The sequence below is a fragment of the Homo sapiens genome, chromosome 6 (genome assembly GCF_000001405.40).
Source record: "Homo sapiens chromosome 6, GRCh38.p14 Primary Assembly".
Classification (NCBI taxonomy): Eukaryota; Metazoa; Chordata; class Mammalia; order Primates; family Hominidae; genus Homo; species Homo sapiens.
Window position 1 is genome coordinate 31,617,708 of NC_000006.12, and position 20,077 is coordinate 31,637,784.

Below are 20,077 nucleotides of genomic sequence, written 5' to 3' on the forward strand. Positions count from 1 at the left end.
GCGAACTCCGTCTCAAAAAAAAAAAACCGAACATACAAACAAACAAAAAACACTTGAATGGGTAGATGAATGAAAGAACTGGTGCTATTAAATAAAGCAAAGAATTTACAGCTGGGCGTGGTGGCTCACGCCTGTAATCCCAGCACTTCAGGAGGCCGAAGCGGGCAGATTACCTGAAATCAGGAGTTGGAGACCAGCCTGGCCAACATGGTGAAACCCCATCTCTACTAAAATACAAAAAATTAGCTGGGCATGGTGGCAGGTGCCTGTAATCCCAGCTACTCGGGAGACTGAGGCAGGAGAATCGCTTGAACCCGGGAGGTGGAGGTTGCGGTGAGCCGAGATCACGCCATGGCACTCCAGCCTGGGTGACAAGAGTGAGACTCTGTCTCAAAAAAAAAAAAAAAAAAAAAAAAAGACTGGAAGGAGAAACTCATTGGAGACAATGACTATGGACATCCCTTTTAAGAATTTTGCTGCAAAGGGTAACAAAACGGTATGTGTGGTAGCCGGCCGGGGAGAAGGGAGAAGAGAATCATTTTGGAAGTTTGAAAACAGAAGTCATCTTAAATCTTACTGAGCCTCTGACTAAAATTCTCATCTGATTTCCGCAAACTTTTCTGCCTTCACTTTTCATAATGAATAAGCCGCCTCCTTTATTTAGCCATATCAGCCTAGGCACAGGCCCCCAAACTCATGCCTCCACTAATCTGTTCTCTGCACCTGAGATGTACACCTTCTTCTGAAACTTGGGTAAGTTCTAACTCGTTCTTCATATCTATTTATTTATATATTTTTGACAGATATCTACTCCGATCATTCTTCATATCATTTTTTTTTTTTTTTCCTGAGATGGAGTCTCATGTTGGCCAGGCTGGTCTCCAACTCCTGACCTCAGGTGACCCACCCACCTTGGCCTCTCAAAGTGCTGGGATTACAGGCGTGAGCCACTGCTCCCGCTCCCGGCCCTTTTTTTCTTCTTTTTCTTTTTTTTTTTTTTTTGAGACGTAGTCTCACTCTGTCGCTAGGCTGGAGTGCAGTGGCGTGATCTCAGCTCACTGCAACCTCCGTCTCCCAGGTTCAAGCGATTCTCCTGCCTCAGCCTCCCAAGTAGCTGAGACTACAGGCACGCGCCACCAGTCCAGCTAATTTTTGTATTTTTAGTAGAGACGGGGTTTTGCCATGTTGGCCAGGATGGTCTCCATTTCTTGACCTTGTGATCTGCCCGCCTCAGCCTCCCAAAGTGCCAGGACTACAGGCATAAGCCACCACGCCCGGCCTCATATCTCTTAATAAGAGTTTTTCTAGAAACATTTCTCAATCACCCCAGGCATAATCATATTTTATTTCTCTACTTCTTTCTTTTTTTTTTTTTTTTGAGATAGAGTTTCGCTCTTGTTGCCCAGGCTGGAGTGCAATGGCACGATCTTGGCTCACCACAACCTCCGCCTCCCAGGTTCAAGCGATTCTCCCGACTCAGCCTCCCGAGTAGCTGGGATCATAGGCATGCGCCACCACGCCTGGGTAATTGTATTTTTAGTAGAGACGGGGTTTCTCCATGTTGGTCAGGCTGGTCTCGAACTCGTGACCTCAGGTGATCCGCCCGCCTGAGCCTCCCAAAGTGCTGGGATTACAGGCGTGAGCCACCGCGCCCATCCTTCTTTTTTTTTTTTTTTTTTTTTTTTTTTTGAGACGTAGTCTTGCTCTGTCACCCAGGCTGGAGTGCAACCTCCGCCTCCCTGGTTCAAGGAATTCTCTGCCTCAGCTTCCCGAGTAGTTGGGATTACAGGCGCCCGCCACCACGTAGGGCAAATTTTTGTATTTTTAGTAGAAATGGGGTTTCATCATGTTGGCCAGGCTGGTCTTGAACTCCTGATCTCGTGATCCACCTGCCTAGGCCTCCCAAAGTGCTGGGATTACAGGCGTGAGCCACCGCGCCAGGCCTTATTTCTCTACTTCTATAATATCCTGTGCATTATCTCCAGCGCCTTCAAATCATAGTCATTGAATGATCTGTTGAATGGGTATAACTCTGATGGGAGCAGAGAGTTCTAGAATCGGGTAGTAAGAGACAAAGGAGGGTAACAGTACTGCATTTCACAAAATGAAACCCATTGTTAAGAAATTACAAATTCCCAATAATTTCAAATATAAAAATTTATTCATGAAAATTATAGGTTATAAAATTAAATGTCCGTCTTAGTCGATGGTTGCCCATATTTTGATGAACGAGTCATTCCTAGCCTATCTTTGTTCAAATGATTTGCATACATTATGCAAATAGGTAGAACTGCCCGAAGAATGCCTACGCTGCGTGGTGCGGACGAAACGCTTCCCGGGGCCTTTGGATTGGTCTGTCTAGCCACCTCATTTGCATGACGTAATATAATAACTGGAAGGCCCCGCCCCTCTGGTGCATTTCCCCGCTCCAACCACCTCCTCAAACTCACGGCAAAGGGATGCGAGAGCTGGAACTCTTACCAGGCCTGCGGAAACTCAGCCCTCCGGCAGCTAATCCCGCCCGCCAGCCCCCGTCCTCTCTCTCTTTCTCCCTAGCTGAAGGCGCCACGGGCCGTGTGTCGTTGCCTTCCACTTTTGGCGTCCCAACGTCTCTCCGCTCCCATCTTTCTACTAACGTCCGACGCACGCTCCGCCTCTTTCTCCCACATTCGTCGTGTAAATTCTGCGTCCCAACCGCCCAGCCGACCTGCACCGCATTCCCGCCCCCTCAACACGGCTCAACGGCCGACGCTGGGGGCCCGCCTCCTTAGCCAATCGGGGTCCTAGTGCCCTTAAGTCCCTCCTCTTTATGCAAATAACCTCCGCATGCTCCGCGCGCCCGGCCCTTTTTTTTTTTTTTTTAAACTAAAGACAGCCCTGGAAGTAGAGGGTTAGGGTAGAAAGTGCCCCGCCCTTTATGCAAATTAAGGGGCGTGTCTAGGCGCGGAGGGAGGTGGGAGGTGGGAGGGGGTGCTCCCGGGGGCGGCGGTTGCCCGGATGGGCCGTTAGTCGGGGCTCAGCCGCGGAGTGAGCGAGGGAGACGGGAGGAGCCGAACCCGGCGCCATCCGCCGCCATCCTCCCCCGCCCCACCGCCATCCCGTCCCGGGGAGCCCCTAGGCCCGGGTCCCGGATCCCCGCGCACCCGGCCAGGTGAGTCTGGGTGAACCGTGCGCTGACGCCCTTTTCCGGCGCGGGAGAGGTGGTGGCGGTGGCGGTGGCGGCGGCGGCGGCGGTGGTGGGCCGGGGGGAGGAGAAGCTGCCATTAGCCGCCGCCATTTTGTCCTCCTGCTGCCGGGCCTGCTTGCCCCTCCCCCTCCGGTACCTCTACTCCGGGACCCGCACCTCCGGCAGTTCATTCAGGATCCGTAGTCTGCCCCTAACCACCCACCGTCTTGGCTTCAGGGGGTGACCCCTGCGCCTGGGTCCGTAACTCCCTACCCTCCGCTGCGCTCCTGGCTTTTCACCCCCATTTGTGGGCCCCCTCCCCGGCTGCCGCCCCGTGGTGGTGGGCCGCGCCCGACGGTTCTCTCGGAAGGGCGCTTTTCCTCCATATTGGACCCCCTCCTATCATCCAGCGCTGTGTTCCCCCCTCTGGACGCCCCTCTTCGTGTCGAGCCACTCCCACTCTAGAATCCTGCTTTTATCCCAGCATCTTTGCTTTCTATGTTGCTCAGTCGCCCTATGTCTGCTTTTTCATTTTTCCTGTTCCTCGTCTCCTTTCTCCCCCAACCCCGTTTTTCTTCTTGGGCCTCTGCCCCCTTACTTCGTTGTCTACATCCTTTTTTTTTTTGCCATTCCTGTTTCCATATATTTTCCACCTGCTTTCGTATTCATTATTTTCTGTTAGTTTTGGTCTATTCGCTACATGACTCTTGTATTCGTTTTCCCTTCATATATTTATCTTCACAGATTGGCCTCCTCAAACACCTACGAAGCAACATCCATCTTATCTCTAGCTTGTCATAAAGTTCTTTCTCCCCAATTTTAGCTTTCATTCTGGGCCTGTCTGGATTTCCCTGCTTTCTTCCCCACTATTTCTCATCTCTTTACACTGTTCCCGTCCATAAACGAATGCCTGGTCACTCTGGAATGGACTGAGAGACCTGTCGTCCGGCTTGCTTAGGGAGCTGGAGGTATCGAGTAAAGAAACACTGGTGATGGACATTTTTAATGAGGATAGGAAAACGAAGATGGCTCTGGCCTTGGCCCTCTGTTTTCTGGCCCATGGTTACAGGGTGCTAAGGTGGCTCCATAATGCTTTTTCTCAGTTCTTCATATGGTAAAACAGTATTTCATCTGGAGGCGATTTTTTCCAGGAGCCAATACAGGAGCAAGTTTAGGAAAAGATGGGATATTTCAAATACTTGAGGTTCCTATAGCCTGGGAGTATGTACAGCCCTAGTTGTTCTATGAGGATTTCTCTGGTACCAACCCCCATTCCGGCTGAGCAAGCTCATAAAATCCTTAAACTCCCAGCATACCTTCCTGCAAACCTTCCCAGATGGACACGAGGCTGCTGGGCTGGGAGCCTGGGGTACAGGGCCCTGGGGGCATGATTAGGGAGCTTGTGTCCAATAAACAGGGAATCTAAAGTGTTGTTTCTTCTTCTCTGATGGAATTGTATGCTTCTTTTTTAGTTTTCTCTTGCTTGAATTTGTCCTGTTGTAAGTCTCTGAAACGATTTTGGTGGAGAGAGAAGAGATTATTACTTGTAGGGAATTACTCTTTGTAGACAGGCACAAAGGGCAGAGTGTTTATACTAGGAGGATGCTGGATTTTTACTTAGATTTCCTTGACAAAGGTGTCTGGGGGAAAGGAGGGAACATGGCATTTGAGCTATGAGGGAGCTAAGTAGATCATGGTTGCTTGAGAAGAGTGGGCAGTTTACATAGACTGGAGGAAAAGACACCAGAGGGCCTCATATCTGAGTCCCTAATGATAATGCAATGGAGTTTTTAAGTTTCTGTTATGGTCTGTACAGGGGACAGAGACTGAGACACTTGCTGTCTGGCCCACAGGCTCTGGCACGTTTTGGGGGAGGTGCCTGCAGGACCCAACATACTCAATGAGCTTCCAGCGCAATGTCCGATCGCTCGGGGCCGACTGCCAAGGGAAAGGATGGAAAGAAGTATTCCTCGCTCAACCTGTTTGATACGTATAAGGGCAAGTCCTTAGAGATCCAGAAACCCGCTGGTGAGAGTCCTGCAAAGATGCTTCTGATGGTTGAAAGCTAGGCATGCATGGGGCATACGTTTTAGAGCTCTTTAAAGGGAAGTGGCTGTAGTAGAAATACCAAAAGACTAGAGGAGATTTCCCAACTTTACACTGGGTCCTTTAAAGGGGGTGTGGGCTCTGGGTGAACACCAGTTATCCTCCTACAAAGGCGTGTCTGTGGTTCCCTGTCTTTGGACACGTAAGAATTGGAGGAAAATAAATGTGGATTTGGGAAACTTTGAGGCCAGCTTGCTTCTTGCAGGCTCATGATCAACCAATCTCACATAAAAGTATTGAATGTTACATATCTCAGCCTTCTTGATAGGGATTTCATAGATTTTTTTTTTTTTTTTTTTTTTTTTGAGACCAAGTTTAGCTCCTGTTGCCCAGGCTGGAGTGCAATGGTGTGATCTTGACTTACCACAACCTCCACCTCCTGGGTTTAAGCGATTATCCTGCCTCAGCCTCCTGAGTAGCTGGGATTACAGGCATGCGCCACCACACCCGGCTAATTTTGTGTTTTTAGTAGAGACAGGGTTTCTCCATTTTGGTCAAGCTGGTCTTGAACTCCTGACCTCAGGTGATCCGCCTGCCTCGGCCTGCCAAAGTGCTGGGATTGCAAAGTGTGAGCCACCACAATCAGCGCGATTTCAGAGATTATTAAGGGCAGGGGAAGGAATCCCTTCTAAGAGAAGTTTGGAGGAAGTAGGTAATAAAATATTCAACATGTATAAATGTGTCCCAGGATAGGAGGCCATCAGATCTCCCACATGAGGCATTTTCGACCCTCTCTCCGTCTTGTTCTCCAGTTGCCCCTCGCCATGGCCTGCAGAGTCTCGGGAAAGTTGCCATTGCCCGGCGTATGCCACCTCCAGCCAACCTTCCAAGCCTGAAAGCCGAGAACAAAGGCAATGACCCCAATGTCTCACTAGTGCCAAAAGACGGAACAGGATGGGCAAGCAAACAGGAGCAGTCCGACCCCAAGAGGTAGACAGAGGCTTGGGGGACCTAGAGTGATGGGTATTTTAACTTGAACTTCAGGGAGCATTGGGGCTTGGTTTAGTCCAGCCACGTCTGAGCCAGAGACGAAGAGGTCCCTTTCTTACCTATTGCAGGTTCCTTGTTAAATGACTAAGGAATGGTACTAAACTTTAGCTTTTTGTCTTGGAGAGAGAGCATGAAAAAATAGACAACAGCCTACAAAGGATGACAAAATTAATTTGTCCTTATATTTGTAAATGGTAGCAATGGGCATGATTTCAGTCCTGAGTCTCCACCAGTTGGAGAAGTCAGGGAGGCATCTCAGGTGTGAATAACCTTCCCATTCTGTCCCCTCAGTTCCGATGCCTCAACCGCTCAGCCGCCGGAATCGCAGCCACTGCCGGCTTCACAGACGCCTGCCTCCAACCAGCCGAAACGACCCCCAGCAGCCCCCGAGGTACCTGGAGAACTGGAGGGGTGGGGAGGAAGAATGGTTCATAGCTGCCCCACCCACATCATTTATCATCTTTCTGAACACTTCCCCAGAACACTCCTTTGGTTCCAAGCGGGGTAAAGTCCTGGGCACAAGCCAGCGTCACCCATGGAGCACATGGAGATGGTGAGTGCAGCACTTAATTGGGGAGCTGTGTCTGGGCACCATGGGATGCATGAACCCTGCACTGTATTTTCAGCCAAGTGACCTTGGTCCTCTTTGGCTAAATCAAGGACCACCCATATTCAGTTTCATGGAGGCACATGAGCAAGTTTAAGTCTCAGTCTTATATGATGGAGTGTAGTGGTGCCAGAACTGACCTCCTTGGGGAATAAGCAGTTATTCTGTAGGGGGGTGAGTTTGAAGGCGGGAAACCTGATGGTCTGGTACCTGTCAGAGCCTTCCACTTTTTTTTTTTTTGAGACGGAGTCTCATTCTGTCACCCAGGCTGGAGTGCAGTGGCGCAATCTCGGCTCACTGCAACCTCTGCCTCCTGGGTTCAAGCGATTTTCCTGCCTCAGCCTCCAGAGTAGCGGGACTACAGGCACACGCCAACACACCCAGCTAATTTTTTGTGTGTTTTTAGTAGAGATGGGGTTTCACATGTTGGCCAGGATGGTCTCGATCTCTTGACCTCGTGATCCGCCCGCCTCAGCCTCCCAGAGTGCTGGGATTACAGGCGTGAGCCACCGCGCCCAGCCAGAGTCTTCCACTTTTATAGCATGTCCTCAGGAAATGTCTTCTGTCTCCTGTTCTGCATCCCCATCCTAATAGGTGGAAGGGCATCAAGCCTACTGTCACGATTCTCTCGAGAGGAATTTCCGACCCTGCAGGCGGCTGGCGACCAGGACAAGGCTGCCAAGGAAAGGGAGTCTGCCGAACAGTCGTCTGGGCCCGGACCAAGCCTCCGCCCCCAAAGTGAGTGGCTGCCTTTTGGCCAAGACATTACCTATTGCATCTCAGAGCTAGGTGCTGGCTTATTCACCTTCCTCCCCATCACTTTCAGCTGTGTTCACTTGTCCTCCAATCATTGATACCTCTCTCTACCTTTTCCAAAATACAGATTCTACAACTTGGAGGGACGGAGGTGGGCGTGGCCCTGATGAGCTGGAGGGCCCGGACTCCAAACTTCATCATGGTCATGATCCCCGGGGTGGGCTACAGCCTTCAGGCCCACCCCAGTTCCCTCCCTACCGCGGAATGATGCCGCCTTTCGTGAGTCTTGGTGTCTTGTCTTGGAACGATTACACTGGAAGCTGGAGAGCTAGGAATCAGGACTTAGTCTTTGACCTATGAGATAGAAGGGAGGGTGGGAGGATGATTGATAGCAGGCTTAAGGAGCTAGAAGGGTATATGACTGTCCCTCTGAGCAGCTACTGTTGGACCCTTTTACAGATGTATCCCCCATATCTCCCGTTCCCTCCGCCCTATGGACCCCAGGGGCCTTACCGATACCCCACTCCTGATGGGCCCAGGTGAGCAATCCAGGTCTGGGTTTGTGGCTGGGGGCAGGGGAAGCTTATTGGGGGAGGAGATGGTTTTCTAGCCAGGAGGCTCAGTCTAGGATCAGTCTCGCATGTGGTTATACAACATGCCATATTTCATTTTCTTTTTTGTGTACAGCCGTTTTCCCCGTGTGGCGGGCCCCCGAGGCTCAGGGCCACCAATGCGCTTAGTAGAGCCTGTGGGTCGTCCCTCTATTCTCAAAGAGGATAATCTCAAAGAGTTTGATCAGTTGGATCAGGAGAATGATGATGGTTGGGCAGGTAAGTGGATATTAAGGGTCAAGAATTTGGATCTTGAAAGGCAAAACCTAATGAGGAAAAAAAAATACAGGGTTATGTGGGTGAAAGGCAGACATTGAAGTGTAGGAAGACCAGGCCCAATGGCTCACATCTGTAATCCCAGTGCTTTGGGAGTGTTAGGTGAGAGGATCGCTTGAAGCCAGGAGTTCAAGACCAGCCTGGGCAACACAGCAAGACCCCCCACCTCTACAAAAAAAAAAAAATTTTTTAGTTGGGTGTGGACTGTGCATCTGTGGTCCCAGCTACTCTGGAGGTTGTGGTGGGAGGATCAGTTGAGCCCAGGAGTTGGAGGTCACAGTGAGCTATGATCGTGCCACTGAACTCCATCCTGGGCAACAGAGCGAGACTTTTAAAAGGAAAAAAAAAAAAGAGTAGGGGAGGATGGATGGGGAATACCAAGTCCTTGCAAAGTGGTGAGAGGAGTAAGAATGACAAGACTTCATTGGTGGATCTAGACTTCGGAGGGAAGGATATTGGCATTGGTAGTCCATCTTGTTACATAGTTCCAGACTACCTCCCAAGATTGGAGGGCAGAATGCTTGGGTTACTAATACTCATATTTCCCCTCAGGGGCCCATGAAGAGGTTGACTACACTGAAAAGCTCAAGTTCAGCGATGAGGAAGATGGGCGAGACTCTGATGAGGAGGGTGCTGAGGGCCAGTGAGTTAGGGCCATCAGGGGAGAAGAGGAGGGGGTCTTGGTTTGTATTTTGGTAATATACTCTTAGAGGAGTATATTAGTTGCAGCTGATTTTAATTTCACTGTTGATCTGCTCACAGCAGGGATTCCCAATCAGCTTCTGGTGAGGAACGGCCCCCTGAAGCAGATGGCAAAAAGGGCAACTCCCCCAACAGCGAACCGCCCACTCCTAAGACGGCCTGGGCAGAAACCTCTCGGCCTCCAGAGACAGAGCCGGGACCTCCTGCCCCAAAGCCTCCCCTACCCCCACCTCACCGGGGCCCCGCCGGGAACTGGGGCCCCCCTGGGGACTACCCAGTGAGTGTCTCCAATAAGGGATTGAGAGGGTCAGCTGTGGGAAATTGGTGTCAGCTGAGTAATTGAAGCGGTTGTGATATAGAGGAAGGGGGGTGCTAAAAATGGGCTGTGTGAAGTGCCAGGCTGCAGAACATCCTGGGAAGCTTTTAAATATCTTTGGTAATAGGGGAGTCTGGGTAAGAAGTGAGAAACTGGGATGCTAATGAGGAAAGAAGAAAAAGGAGCCCTGGGTGTTTGGGTTTCGGAAGGAGAGAGGGAACAGAAAAATAAAAAGACTAGGGTGGCTAGATAGCTGGATCTGTTAGTATGCATCAGTAGTCCAAGCTACTCAGCAGGCTGAAGCAGAAGGATCACTTGAGCCCAAGTTCAAGACCAGCCTGGGCAACATAGCAAGACGTGGTCTCAAAGAAGACCAGGATAATGAGTTTGTCACCACCCAGAGAGATCAACCCCAAAGCCTGGGTCGTTGCATCCTGCAAGTAGCGACAGTTGATTTGTTGTAAAAGAGATGATAGAAAGCATAGTAACTGATTCCCCTGGCCCTGCTGGGTCTTGCCAATTGACAGGATCGTGGGGGTCCTCCCTGCAAGCCCCCAGCACCTGAAGATGAGGATGAGGCATGGCGGCAGCGACGAAAGCAGTCGTCATCTGAGATTTCCCTGGCAGTGGAGCGGGCCCGGCGACGGCGAGAAGAAGAGGAGCGGCGCATGCAAGAAGAGCGCCGGGCAGCCTGTGCTGAGAAGCTCAAGCGACTCGATGAAAAGTTTGGGGCACCTGACAAGCGGCTCAAAGCAGAGCCTGCTGCCCCACCTGCTGCCCCTTCTACCCCAGCTCCACCACCTGCAGTCCCTAAAGAACTCCCTGCACCTCCAGCTCCACCTCCAGCATCAGCCCCAACACCAGAGACAGAACCTGAAGAGCCAGCACAGGCCCCTCCTGCCCAATCTACTCCTACTCCAGGTGTGGCTGCGGCTCCCACTCTGGTGAGTGGTGGTGGCAGTACCAGTAGCACCAGCAGTGGCAGCTTCGAAGCCAGCCCAGGTATGGAGATGGGGATAGGTACTACCAGATGTCAGATCACTGCTTCAAGGTGCTTAAAGGTGCAGGGTGGTAAGGCTGGGGATAAATGAAGTAGAAGGCAGTTGTTTTGGTTTATTGGACTATCAGTGATAGTGTTCTATCATTTGTATATCTGAAGGAGGGAAGGTTTTGTCTGGAATCTTAGGTTGTAGTCTAATACCATTTCTTGGCAGAGTACTGTAGCTCACGCCTATAATCCCAACACTTAGGGAGGCTTGGGGTGGAGGATCGCTTGAGCCTAGGGAGTTTGAGACCAGCCTGGGCAACAAAGCAAGACCCTGTCGGCCAGGCATGGTGGCTCACACTTGTAATCCCAGCACTCTGGGAGGCCGAGGCGGGCAGAACATGAGGTCAGGAGTTCAAGATCAGCCTGGCCAACATAGTGAAACCCGTCTCTACTAAAAATACAAAAATTAGCCAAGTGTGGTGGCATGTGCTTGTAGTCCCAGCTGCTTGGGAGGCTGAGGTAGTAGAATCGCTTTAACCCGGGAGGCAGAGATTTCTGTGAGCCAAGACCATGCCATTGCACTCCAGCCTGGGTGACAGAGCAAGACTCTGTCTCAAAAAAAAATCCTGTCTCACAAGAAATACATAAATAAAAATGAAAACTATTTCCTATAGGCCAAGACTGAAGAAAGTACTGTTGTTCTAATGGTTTCATAGAAAGTTAATGCCACCACCATAGGCTCATGAGAGGCCATGAAGTGCTTTAATGGGTCTTAAATGGGAGGGGCTTCAATAGAATAGATGTTGAATAGAATATTTTAGTCTTAAGGGAGCTAGAGATGAGACGTGAGATTCCTGGGGTGTTCATGGAGTGTCTATTGTTGGACTAGATCACTCTGTTGTGTTTTTTCCGATGCAGTGGAACCACAACTGCCCTCAAAAGAGGGTCCTGAACCACCAGAAGAGGTTCCTCCTCCTACCACACCCCCAGTTCCAAAGGTGGAACCCAAGGGTGATGGGATTGGTCCCACCCGCCAGCCCCCTAGTCAGGGCTTGGGCTACCCCAAATATCAGAAGTCGTTGCCTCCTCGTTTCCAGCGGCAGCAGCAGGTGAAATCAAGTTGTTTACCCTCTAAGGGCTGCTTTTCTTCCTGGCTTCGGTCCCTAATTCTCTTCATAAGTTACCTTCTGGGTCCCTTTGCTTCTTTGTCCAGTTGTCTCCATTGTCACGCCAATTTCCCCTAGTCCAAGTTTTTTCTTTGCTGATTCCTTTGTCCATGTGTGCTTTGAGCCTCTCTCATCTTGTCTTTCCTCCTTTCCTAGGAGCAGCTCCTGAAGCAGCAGCAGCAGCACCAGTGGCAGCAGCATCAACAGGGCTCTGCCCCTCCTACCCCAGTGCCCCCATCACCACCACAGCCTGTGACCCTGGGGGCTGTGCCAGCTCCACAGGCTCCACCCCCGCCCCCCAAGGCCCTGTACCCAGGTGCTCTGGGCCGGCCCCCACCCATGCCCCCAATGAACTTTGATCCCCGATGGATGATGATTCCTCCTTATGTGGACCCCCGGCTCCTCCAGGGTCGTCCCCCTCTAGACTTCTACCCTCCTGGTGTGCATCCCTCTGGTAAGGGGGCATGGGAGGAGTGAGAAACAGGAAAGTCCCCTCAGTCTTAGGCATTGGATATTAGGGTCTTACTGTGACTCTGGTACGATAGGTTTTGCCCATCATAGTGATGAGGGAAGGGCATATGCTTGGCACTGCTGAGATAGCTCTGTTGCAAAAATGGGCTTAGTTAAGAAATAAGCAGTGGTTGGCCAGGCATTGTGGCTCACGCCTGTAATCCCAGCACTTAGGGAGGCCGAGGTGGGCAGATCAACTGAGTTCAGGAGTTCGAGACCACCATGGCTAACGTGGTAAAACCCCATTTCTACTAAAAATACAAAAAAGTAGCCGGCGTGGTGGCGCTCGCCTGTAGTCCCAGCTACTCGGGAGACTGAGGCAGGAGAAACGCTTGAACCCAGGAGGTGGAGGTTGTAGTGAGCCGAGATTGTGCCATCGCACTCCAGCTTAGGCAACGAGCGAAACTCCGTCTCAAAAATGAATGAATGAATAGCACAACTCCATCTCAAAAATGAATGAATGAATGAAAGAAGCAGTGGTCCTTCATTTGCCAGGATTTATTTGGGGTGGGTTGATTCTCTTGTAGGGAATCTGAGTGGATAACCTTGTTATATAAGAGCAGGCAAGGCCCGGACCTACTGGGAACAAGAGATGGAAGAGCTGACTTGACCGCGAGGGGAGATGCTTTTTGGGCTGGAGGGCTTGTGACATGAATAGGATTATTTTTCTTTTTCTTTGGTTTCTTCAGGCCTAGTTCCCCGAGAGCGTTCAGACAGTGGGGGCTCAAGCTCAGAGCCATTTGACCGTCATGCACCTGCTATGTTACGGGAACGGGGCACTCCACCGGTGGATCCAAAGTTGGCCTGGGTAGGAGATGTCTTCACCGCCACACCCGCTGAACCCCGCCCACTTACCTCACCTCTGCGCCAGGCTGCGGATGAGGATGACAAGGGGATGAGGTGAGTCTTGGTCATGAGAAATGGGTGAGTTCACAGTGAAAGGATCTAGGCCTGGGAGAAAGGTACTTTGGGTTAGTGGTAGGGATAGGGATGAACGGGAAAGGAGAGGCTGGATGGAGTGGCTCATGCCTGTAATCCCAGCATTTTGGGAGGCTGAGGCAAGAAGATTGCTTGAGCCCAGCAGTTCGAGACTAGCCTCGGCAACTGGATGCCATCTCTGCCAAAACAAACAGAAAAATAGTAAAAGAGAGTCTGCATCATAATAAAGTGTTCTTTTCCCACCTAGTTCTGGTTTTCCTGAGATACTTATTTCCATTCTTTCTGTCTGTCTCTTCAGGAGCGAGACTCCTCCAGTACCTCCCCCACCACCCTATCTGGCCAGTTATCCAGGCTTTCCTGAGAATGGAGCCCCTGGGCCCCCAATCTCTCGCTTTCCTCTGGAGGAACCAGGGCCCCGTCCACTCCCCTGGCCCCCAGGCAGTGATGAAGTGGCCAAGATACAAACTCCACCACCCAAGAAGGAGCCCCCTAAGGAGGAGACTGCACAGCTGACGGGGCCAGAAGCAGGCCGAAAGCCTGCCCGCGGAGTCGGGAGTGGAGGCCAGGGCCCCCCACCACCACGCAGAGAGAGTCGCACAGAGACCCGCTGGGGCCCTCGTCCAGGGAGCAGTCGTCGTGGAATCCCTCCAGAGGAGCCAGGGGCCCCACCCCGCCGGGCTGGGCCTATAAAGAAACCTCCACCACCTACAAAAGTAGAAGAGCTGCCTCCCAAGCCCCTCGAACAGGGGGATGAAACCCCCAAACCCCCAAAGCCAGACCCACTCAAGATAACCAAGGGGAAGCTAGGGGGCCCCAAGGAGACCCCACCCAATGGAAATCTTTCCCCTGCCCCAAGGCTTCGGAGGGACTATTCGTATGAAAGAGTGGGTCCTACCTCTTGCCGGGGTCGGGGCCGAGGCGAGTATTTTGCCAGAGGGAGGGGTTTTCGGGGGACCTATGGGGGACGAGGGCGGGGAGCCCGAAGCCGGGAATTCCGCAGTTACCGAGAGTTTCGAGGAGATGATGGGCGTGGAGGTGGGACAGGGGGACCAAACCACCCTCCTGCTCCCCGAGGCCGCACTGCCAGCGAGACACGGAGCGAGGGTTCAGAGTATGAGGAAATCCCCAAGCGGCGCCGGCAGCGGGGCTCAGAAACAGGCAGCGAGACCCATGAGAGTGATCTGGCTCCTTCAGACAAGGAGGCTCCCACACCCAAGGAGGGAACACTCACCCAGGTCCCTCTCGCTCCCCCACCACCAGGAGCCCCACCTTCACCAGCCCCAGCCCGCTTCACTGCCCGGGGTGGGCGAGTCTTCACTCCCAGAGGGGTGCCATCTCGCCGGGGCCGAGGAGGAGGGAGGCCCCCTCCTCAAGTTTGCCCAGGCTGGAGCCCTCCAGCCAAGTCTCTGGCTCCCAAGAAACCTCCCACAGGCCCTTTGCCACCAAGTAAGGAGCCTTTGAAAGAGAAGTTGATCCCAGGGCCTCTGTCCCCTGTGGCGCGCGGAGGCAGCAATGGAGGTAGCAATGTGGGCATGGAAGATGGGGAGCGACCCCGAAGGAGGCGACATGGGAGGGCTCAGCAGCAGGATAAACCGCCTCGTTTCCGGAGGCTGAAGCAGGAACGGGAGAATGCCGCAAGGGGGTCTGAGGGCAAGCCCTCCCTAACCCTTCCAGCCTCCGCTCCTGGACCTGAGGAGGCCCTCACAACAGTCACAGTGGCCCCAGCACCTCGCCGGGCAGCTGCCAAGTCTCCTGATCTGTCAAACCAGAACTCAGACCAAGCCAATGAGGAATGGGAGACTGCATCAGAGAGCAGTGACTTCACCAGTGAGCGCCGAGGGGACAAAGAGGCACCCCCACCAGTACTGCTGACACCCAAGGCTGTGGGAACTCCTGGGGGAGGTGGAGGTGGAGCCGTACCAGGTATTTCAGCCATGTCCCGCGGAGATCTGAGCCAGAGAGCCAAGGATTTGAGTAAACGGAGCTTCTCAAGTCAGCGGCCAGGCATGGAACGGCAGAATCGGCGCCCTGGCCCAGGGGGCAAGGCTGGCAGCAGTGGCAGCAGCAGTGGAGGAGGCGGTGGGGGTCCTGGAGGAAGGACCGGGCCAGGACGAGGCGACAAGAGGAGCTGGCCCTCTCCCAAGAACCGAAGGTGGGTAGGAACAAACAAATTTATTGTGGTTTAAAAATTGGAGGAGGGGGAAAAAGCCTGAGGGAAAGATAAGTTTGGGTGGAGTGGAGATTGTGGCCTGAGGGGCCATGGGCTCTAGAATGTCAGTAGGATTTCCATGTCTGGCTAAGGCAACTGGAAAGCGGTTGGTAGGGTGTTAGAGTCAAGAACACCCACCTATGTATTCATTGCTGGTTCTTTGCTTTCCAGTCTGTGCATCTGTATGCATAGGAATCCTTAGAAGGACTCAAAAACACCTGGACTTTAATAGGGAAGAGAATAGGTTGTAAGCAGAAGTTGGGAAACATAACTTGTGGGAAAAAGTAACGATTTAGTGGATACTGGAGCTAATGCTCTGTTTTCTCCAGTCGTCCTCCAGAGGAGCGTCCCCCGGGGCTTCCCCTGCCTCCCCCACCTCCCAGCAGTTCTGCTGTCTTCCGCCTGGACCAAGTTATCCACAGCAACCCTGCTGGCATCCAACAGGCTCTGGCCCAGCTTAGTAGCCGTCAAGGGAGTGTAACTGCACCAGGGGGTCATCCAAGGCACAAGCCTGGGCTTCCCCAAGCCCCTCAGGGCCCCTCTCCTAGGCCCCCAACCCGATACGAGCCCCAGAGGGTCAACAGCGGCCTCAGTTCTGGTAAGCTGGAGGGGTTATGGGTGGGAATATCTCCATCCCCAGAGAAGGTCAAGTGCTGGAGGGAGCGGGTGGAGAACCTGGCCTAGGGACCCTGCTGCTGGGTGCGTTTCTGCAGGGAGCAAGGGTAGAAGAATTGGGAGGTGGAGTAGAGAGGAAAAGTTAGGGTCAGTGGCAGAGCCAGGCAGATGCTGACCCTTTTTCTCTTTCCCAGACCCCCACTTTGAGGAGCCGGGGCCAATGGTGAGAGGGGTGGGTGGGACTCCTCGGGACTCTGCCGGGGTTAGTCCCTTTCCCCCTAAACGTCGGGAGCGGCCTCCCAGAAAACCAGAGCTGCTACAGGAGGTAAGGGATGGGTTTGAGATTGTGCTTCACTGCACTCTTACTCGTGAAAATTCTTCTGGGTTATGTTTTCTCTGTTTTCTTTCCTGTTTCTTTCACTGTGTTTTTACTCCAGAATTCTCAGTATTAGTCTCCCATGTGTCTCCCTTGTTGTCCCCACACCCTGTGTCACCCCACTCTGTCCTGGCTTCCTATAATTCCCAATTCCCACCCAATTCATGTTTTGCTTCTGGCCCTTCTCATCTGTAGGAATCTTTGCCACCTCCTCATAGCTCTGGATTCTTGGGCTCTAAGCCTGAGGGCCCAGGCCCTCAGGCAGAGTCCAGAGATACAGGCACAGAGGCCCTGACCCCTCACATCTGGAACCGTTTACATACTGGTGAGTAAAGCTGAGTGAAAGGACTATGGTAGAAGGGTTAAGAATGAGAGGGGCTTCTGAACTGTCATCTCCTCACTTCTCTTCTGGTTGGTGCTCCCTTCTCCAGCCACTAGCCGAAAGAGTTACCGGCCCAGCTCCATGGAGCCTTGGATGGAGCCCCTGAGTCCTTTTGAGGATGTGGCTGGCACAGAAGTGAGTGAGGGTGGGAGGGTGTGTCTGAGCTGGGACTTTTTTGAGCACTGGTCATACCCCCCACCTGCTCTGGGTTGAGTCTGGAGCTGTTCTCTCACTTGGCTGTCCCCTTTCTGCAGTTTGTATGTGTGCATCAGTCAGGTATTGGGGTGCTTTCTACCCTGACTTAACTAGCTCCTTCTCCACTCCTCTCAGATGAGTCAGTCTGACAGTGGGGTGGACCTGAGTGGGGATTCTCAGGTGTCATCAGGTCCCTGCAGCCAGCGAAGTTCCCCTGATGGAGGACTCAAGGGGGCAGCAGAGGGACCCCCCAAGAGGCCTGGAGGCTCCTCACCCCTGAATGCTGTTCCTTGTGAGGGTCCACCTGGCTCTGAACCTCCTAGGAGACCACCACCTGCCCCCCACGATGGGGACAGAAAGGTAAAAGACCAAAAAAGGATAAGGGGAATGTTTCCAGGAATCTGACTTTGGCCCTACCTTTTTCTGCTTTTTCTCTCTGCGTGTGTGTTCTGGGCATTCCAATTTGGATTTCCCTTTCCCTCCCCCAATGCACTTTACTGTGTGCCCAATCCAGGAGCTGCCCCGGGAGCAGCCTCTGCCCCCTGGCCCCATTGGCACAGAACGATCACAGCGTACAGACCGAGGCACAGAGCCTGGCCCCATTCGGCCATCCCATCGACCTGGTCCCCCAGTCCAGTTTGGCACTAGTGACAAGGTCTGTGTGGGCTGGATCTGGGTATCCTGAGTTGGGTGGAGAGAAGGGAAGGACTAAAGGTGGGACATAGAGGACACATGTCTGTCACGGGACAATGTCTCCTGCCTTCTTGTGATCACAGGACTCAGACTTACGCCTAGTGGTAGGAGACAGCTTGAAAGCAGAGAAGGAGCTAACAGCATCAGTCACTGAGGTAAGTGGGAGTAAGAGTTTGGTGGAAAGGCCCAAGATTTCTGGGGAAGATTGCTGGGAGTGACCAGGGCGTCCAGGATGCCAGACATCCCTCTCCACGAGGCCTCTCCTTCCCAGGCCATTCCTGTATCACGAGACTGGGAGCTGCTTCCCAGTGCTGCTGCCTCTGCTGAGCCACAATCCAAGAACCTGGATTCTGGGCACTGTGTCCCGGAGCCCAGCTCCTCAGGCCAGCGCCTGTATCCTGAGGTTTTCTATGGCAGTGCTGGGCCTTCCAGTTCTCAGGTAGGCCCCGCTTCCCATTGCATGACCCCTTCAGTGAATAATAATTTTTTTCTGCCTGGTATGTATTTATAATCAAGCCTTTCTACGTTGCAGAGTTGTGAGATACCACTTTGTCACATCATTTTTCTCCCTACTTTTTGCTTCTATGGGTGGGATGGTGATCTTTTTTCTTGACCACAGATACTAAAGCTGTTTCAACCGTGCTCCTCTCCTGCAGATCTCTGGGGGAGCCATGGACTCTCAATTACATCCAAACAGTGGAGGCTTCCGCCCTGGGACACCCTCACTGCACCCTTACAGGTAAGACTCGATGCCTGTGGATCACAGAAGTACTTGGAGATGTGTTTCGGGGAGAGGGAAGGGGAAGACACAGTTCTAGGGTACTAGAAGCTAGTGGACTTAAGGCATTGCTAGGACTCTGGCTTCCTAACAGCTTTTCTCCCCACAATTTATTTTCAGATCACAGCCCCTATACCTACCCCCCGGCCCAGCCCCTCCCTCAGCACTGCTCTCTGGGTTAGCTCTCAAGGGCCAGTTTCTGGATTTCTCCACAATGCAAGCTACAGAGCTGGGGAAGTTGCCGGCTGGAGGAGTTCTCTACCCTCCACCTTCCTTCCTCTACTCTCCGGCTTTCTGCCCCAGTCCTTTGCCTGACACATCGTTGCTTCAGGTAAGAGGGGGGCAGGTATTAGATATTGGGGGATAGGGTAGGGAGAATGATTTTGTGGGGGTTGATATATTTCTCCCTGTTTCCCGACAGGTACGCCAGGATCTGCCATCCCCTTCGGATTTTTATTCTACTCCTCTGCAGCCTGGTGGCCAAAGTGGCTTTCTCCCTTCAGGGGCTCCTGCCCAGCAGGTATATTGTATCTTCACACTTCCCCTTCATTTGATTTCTCTGTCCAGTTGCTGGCTTTGATTTTCCCTGGTTTTCTGACATTCCTCCCTGCCCCCAACATGCACACCCAAATTTCTTGTTACAGATGCTTCTACCCATGGTAGACTCACAGCTGCCTGTGGTGAACTTTGGCTCCCTGCCGCCAGCACCACCTCCTGCCCCACCTCCCCTTTCTCTGTTACCTGTGGGCCCTGCTCTGCAGCCCCCCAGCCTGGCTGTGCGGCCCCCACCTGCTCCTGCTACTCGGGTGCTGCCTTCACCTGCCAGGCCCTTCCCCGCTAGCTTGGGGCGAGCAGAGGTAAGGTACAGGAACTGAGGGGCTAGGGAGCGCCAAGACTTGGGAGTAGGGATTCTGTATTTCAAGGTAGGCAGCTCATGATTTTTTTCCCCTCAGCTGCATCCAGTGGAACTAAAGCCGTTCCAGGATTATCAAAAACTGAGCAGCAACCTTGGGGGACCTGGATCATCACGGACTCCCCCAACTGGAAGGTGAAACGGAATAGGGATGTGGACTTTCCAAGTGCTTCCTTACTTTGGAACCAGGGTCTGGATCCTAGGCTTGCCTTAGACGCCCTTCTTCCCTTAGGTCCTTCTCTGGCCTCAATTCCCGTCTCAAGGCCACGCCTTCCACCTACAGTGGAGTCTTCCGCACCCAGCGCGTCGACCTTTACCAGCAGGTGAAGGAGAAACCCTTGTGGCCCCAACTCTAAATTCGAGTTGCCACCTGATTTCCTGTCCTTCCGTCTCATCGCTGACCTCTCACTGTGACTCACTGTTTAACACATGCCTGTCCCCTAGGCCTCCCCACCAGATGCCCTGCGCTGGATACCTAAGCCTTGGGAGCGGACAGGGCCGCCACCTCGAGAAGGGCCCTCCCGACGGGCAGAGGAGCCTGGGTCCCGAGGGGACAAGGAGCCTGGGTTGCCCCCACCCCGCTGAGGGAGTTCCTCTTGCCCCCTACCCCCGGGGCTTGTATATAGATTATAAATATATAAGGGGGAAAGGGGTGGGCGGGGAGGGGTTCTGGGGCTGGGGCCTCACTTCCCCTCCTCCCCCTTCCCCTGGTCCCCTGTCCCTGGGGCTGTTTGTTAAAAAAGAGTAATAAAAGGATTTAAAAAAAAAAACTTCTACAATGAT

At 52.8% G+C, this 20,077-nt stretch overlaps 1 protein-coding gene and 2 non-coding genes across 5 annotated transcripts, besides 3 other annotated features; all 3 read left to right on the plus strand.

Moving 5' to 3' along the window:
• Positions 1–3,007: 3,007 nt before the first annotated feature.
• On the plus strand, positions 3,008–20,064 carry PRRC2A (proline rich coiled-coil 2A). Of its 3 annotated transcripts, none has more exons than NM_004638.4 (31): positions 3,008–3,151; positions 4,983–5,194; positions 6,025–6,202; positions 6,554–6,653; positions 6,743–6,815; positions 7,464–7,607; positions 7,753–7,904; positions 8,085–8,164; positions 8,313–8,455; positions 9,065–9,155; positions 9,275–9,491; positions 10,058–10,532; positions 11,437–11,627; positions 11,841–12,138; positions 12,884–13,094; positions 13,432–15,285; positions 15,672–15,940; positions 16,152–16,282; positions 16,529–16,658; positions 16,765–16,850; positions 17,046–17,270; positions 17,425–17,565; positions 17,687–17,758; positions 17,875–18,042; positions 18,260–18,342; positions 18,502–18,712; positions 18,803–18,901; positions 19,026–19,238; positions 19,335–19,429; positions 19,527–19,617; positions 19,739–20,064. In NM_004638.4, the coding sequence occupies exons 2-31, from the start codon at positions 5,083–5,085 to the stop codon at positions 19,877–19,879; spliced, it is 6,474 nt and encodes a 2,157-aa protein (NP_004629.3). In that variant the 5' UTR covers positions 3,008–3,151; positions 4,983–5,082; the 3' UTR covers positions 19,880–20,064. The 3 variants fall into 3 exon arrangements, with proteins under 3 accessions (NP_004629.3, NP_542417.2, XP_047275292.1); NM_080686.3 differs by having other exon boundaries at positions 5,020–5,194; XM_047419336.1 differs by lacking the exon at positions 19,026–19,238 and having other exon boundaries at positions 5,020–5,194.
• On the plus strand, positions 5,372–5,503 carry SNORA38 (small nucleolar RNA, H/ACA box 38). Its single transcript, NR_002971.1, has one exon. It is a non-coding gene; the product is annotated as a small nucleolar RNA, H/ACA box 38 (small nucleolar RNA).
• Positions 6,124–7,071: an enhancer, noted in NCBI's record as "H3K4me1 hESC enhancer chr6:31591608-31592555 (GRCh37/hg19 assembly coordinates)". NCBI's record gives its function as "activates a minimal SCP1, AML or CMV promoter by ChIP-STARR-seq in primed H9 embryonic stem cells {active_cell/tissue: H9 hESC(primed)}" and the evidence as "EXISTENCE:reporter gene assay evidence [ECO:0000049][PMID:30033119]".
• Positions 7,072–8,018: an enhancer, noted in NCBI's record as "H3K4me1 hESC enhancer chr6:31592556-31593502 (GRCh37/hg19 assembly coordinates)". NCBI's record gives its function as "activates a minimal SCP1, AML or CMV promoter by ChIP-STARR-seq in naive and primed H9 embryonic stem cells {active_cell/tissue: H9 hESC(naive and primed)}" and the evidence as "EXISTENCE:reporter gene assay evidence [ECO:0000049][PMID:30033119]".
• MIR6832 (microRNA 6832) lies at positions 16,080–16,151 on the plus strand. The gene has a single exon (NR_106890.1). It is a non-coding gene; the product is annotated as a microRNA 6832 (primary transcript).
• Positions 16,972–17,135: a silencer, noted in NCBI's record as "fragment chr6:31602456-31602619 (GRCh37/hg19 assembly coordinates)". NCBI's record gives its function as "represses an EF-1alpha promoter that drives an FKBP-Casp9 reporter gene in an ReSE screen in phorbol 12-myristate 13-acetate-treated (for megakaryocytic differentiation) K562 erythroleukemia cells {active_cell/tissue: K562(+PMA)}" and the evidence as "EXISTENCE:reporter gene assay evidence [ECO:0000049][PMID:32094911]".
• Positions 20,065–20,077: the final 13 nt, after the last annotated feature.

Excerpts from the sequence above, each read along its gene's own strand:
- PRRC2A (NM_004638.4), top strand. The coding sequence starts at position 5,083 with ATGTCCGATCGCTCGGGGCCGACTGCCAAGGGAAAGGATGGAAAGAAG. Across the intron at positions 9,492-10,057 it reads GCCCCCCTGGGGACTACCCA|GATCGTGGGGGTCCTCCCTG; the intron begins GTGAGTGTCTCC and ends GCCAATTGACAG. Across the intron at positions 19,618-19,738 it reads GCGTCGACCTTTACCAGCAG|GCCTCCCCACCAGATGCCCT; the intron begins GTGAAGGAGAAA and ends CCTGTCCCCTAG.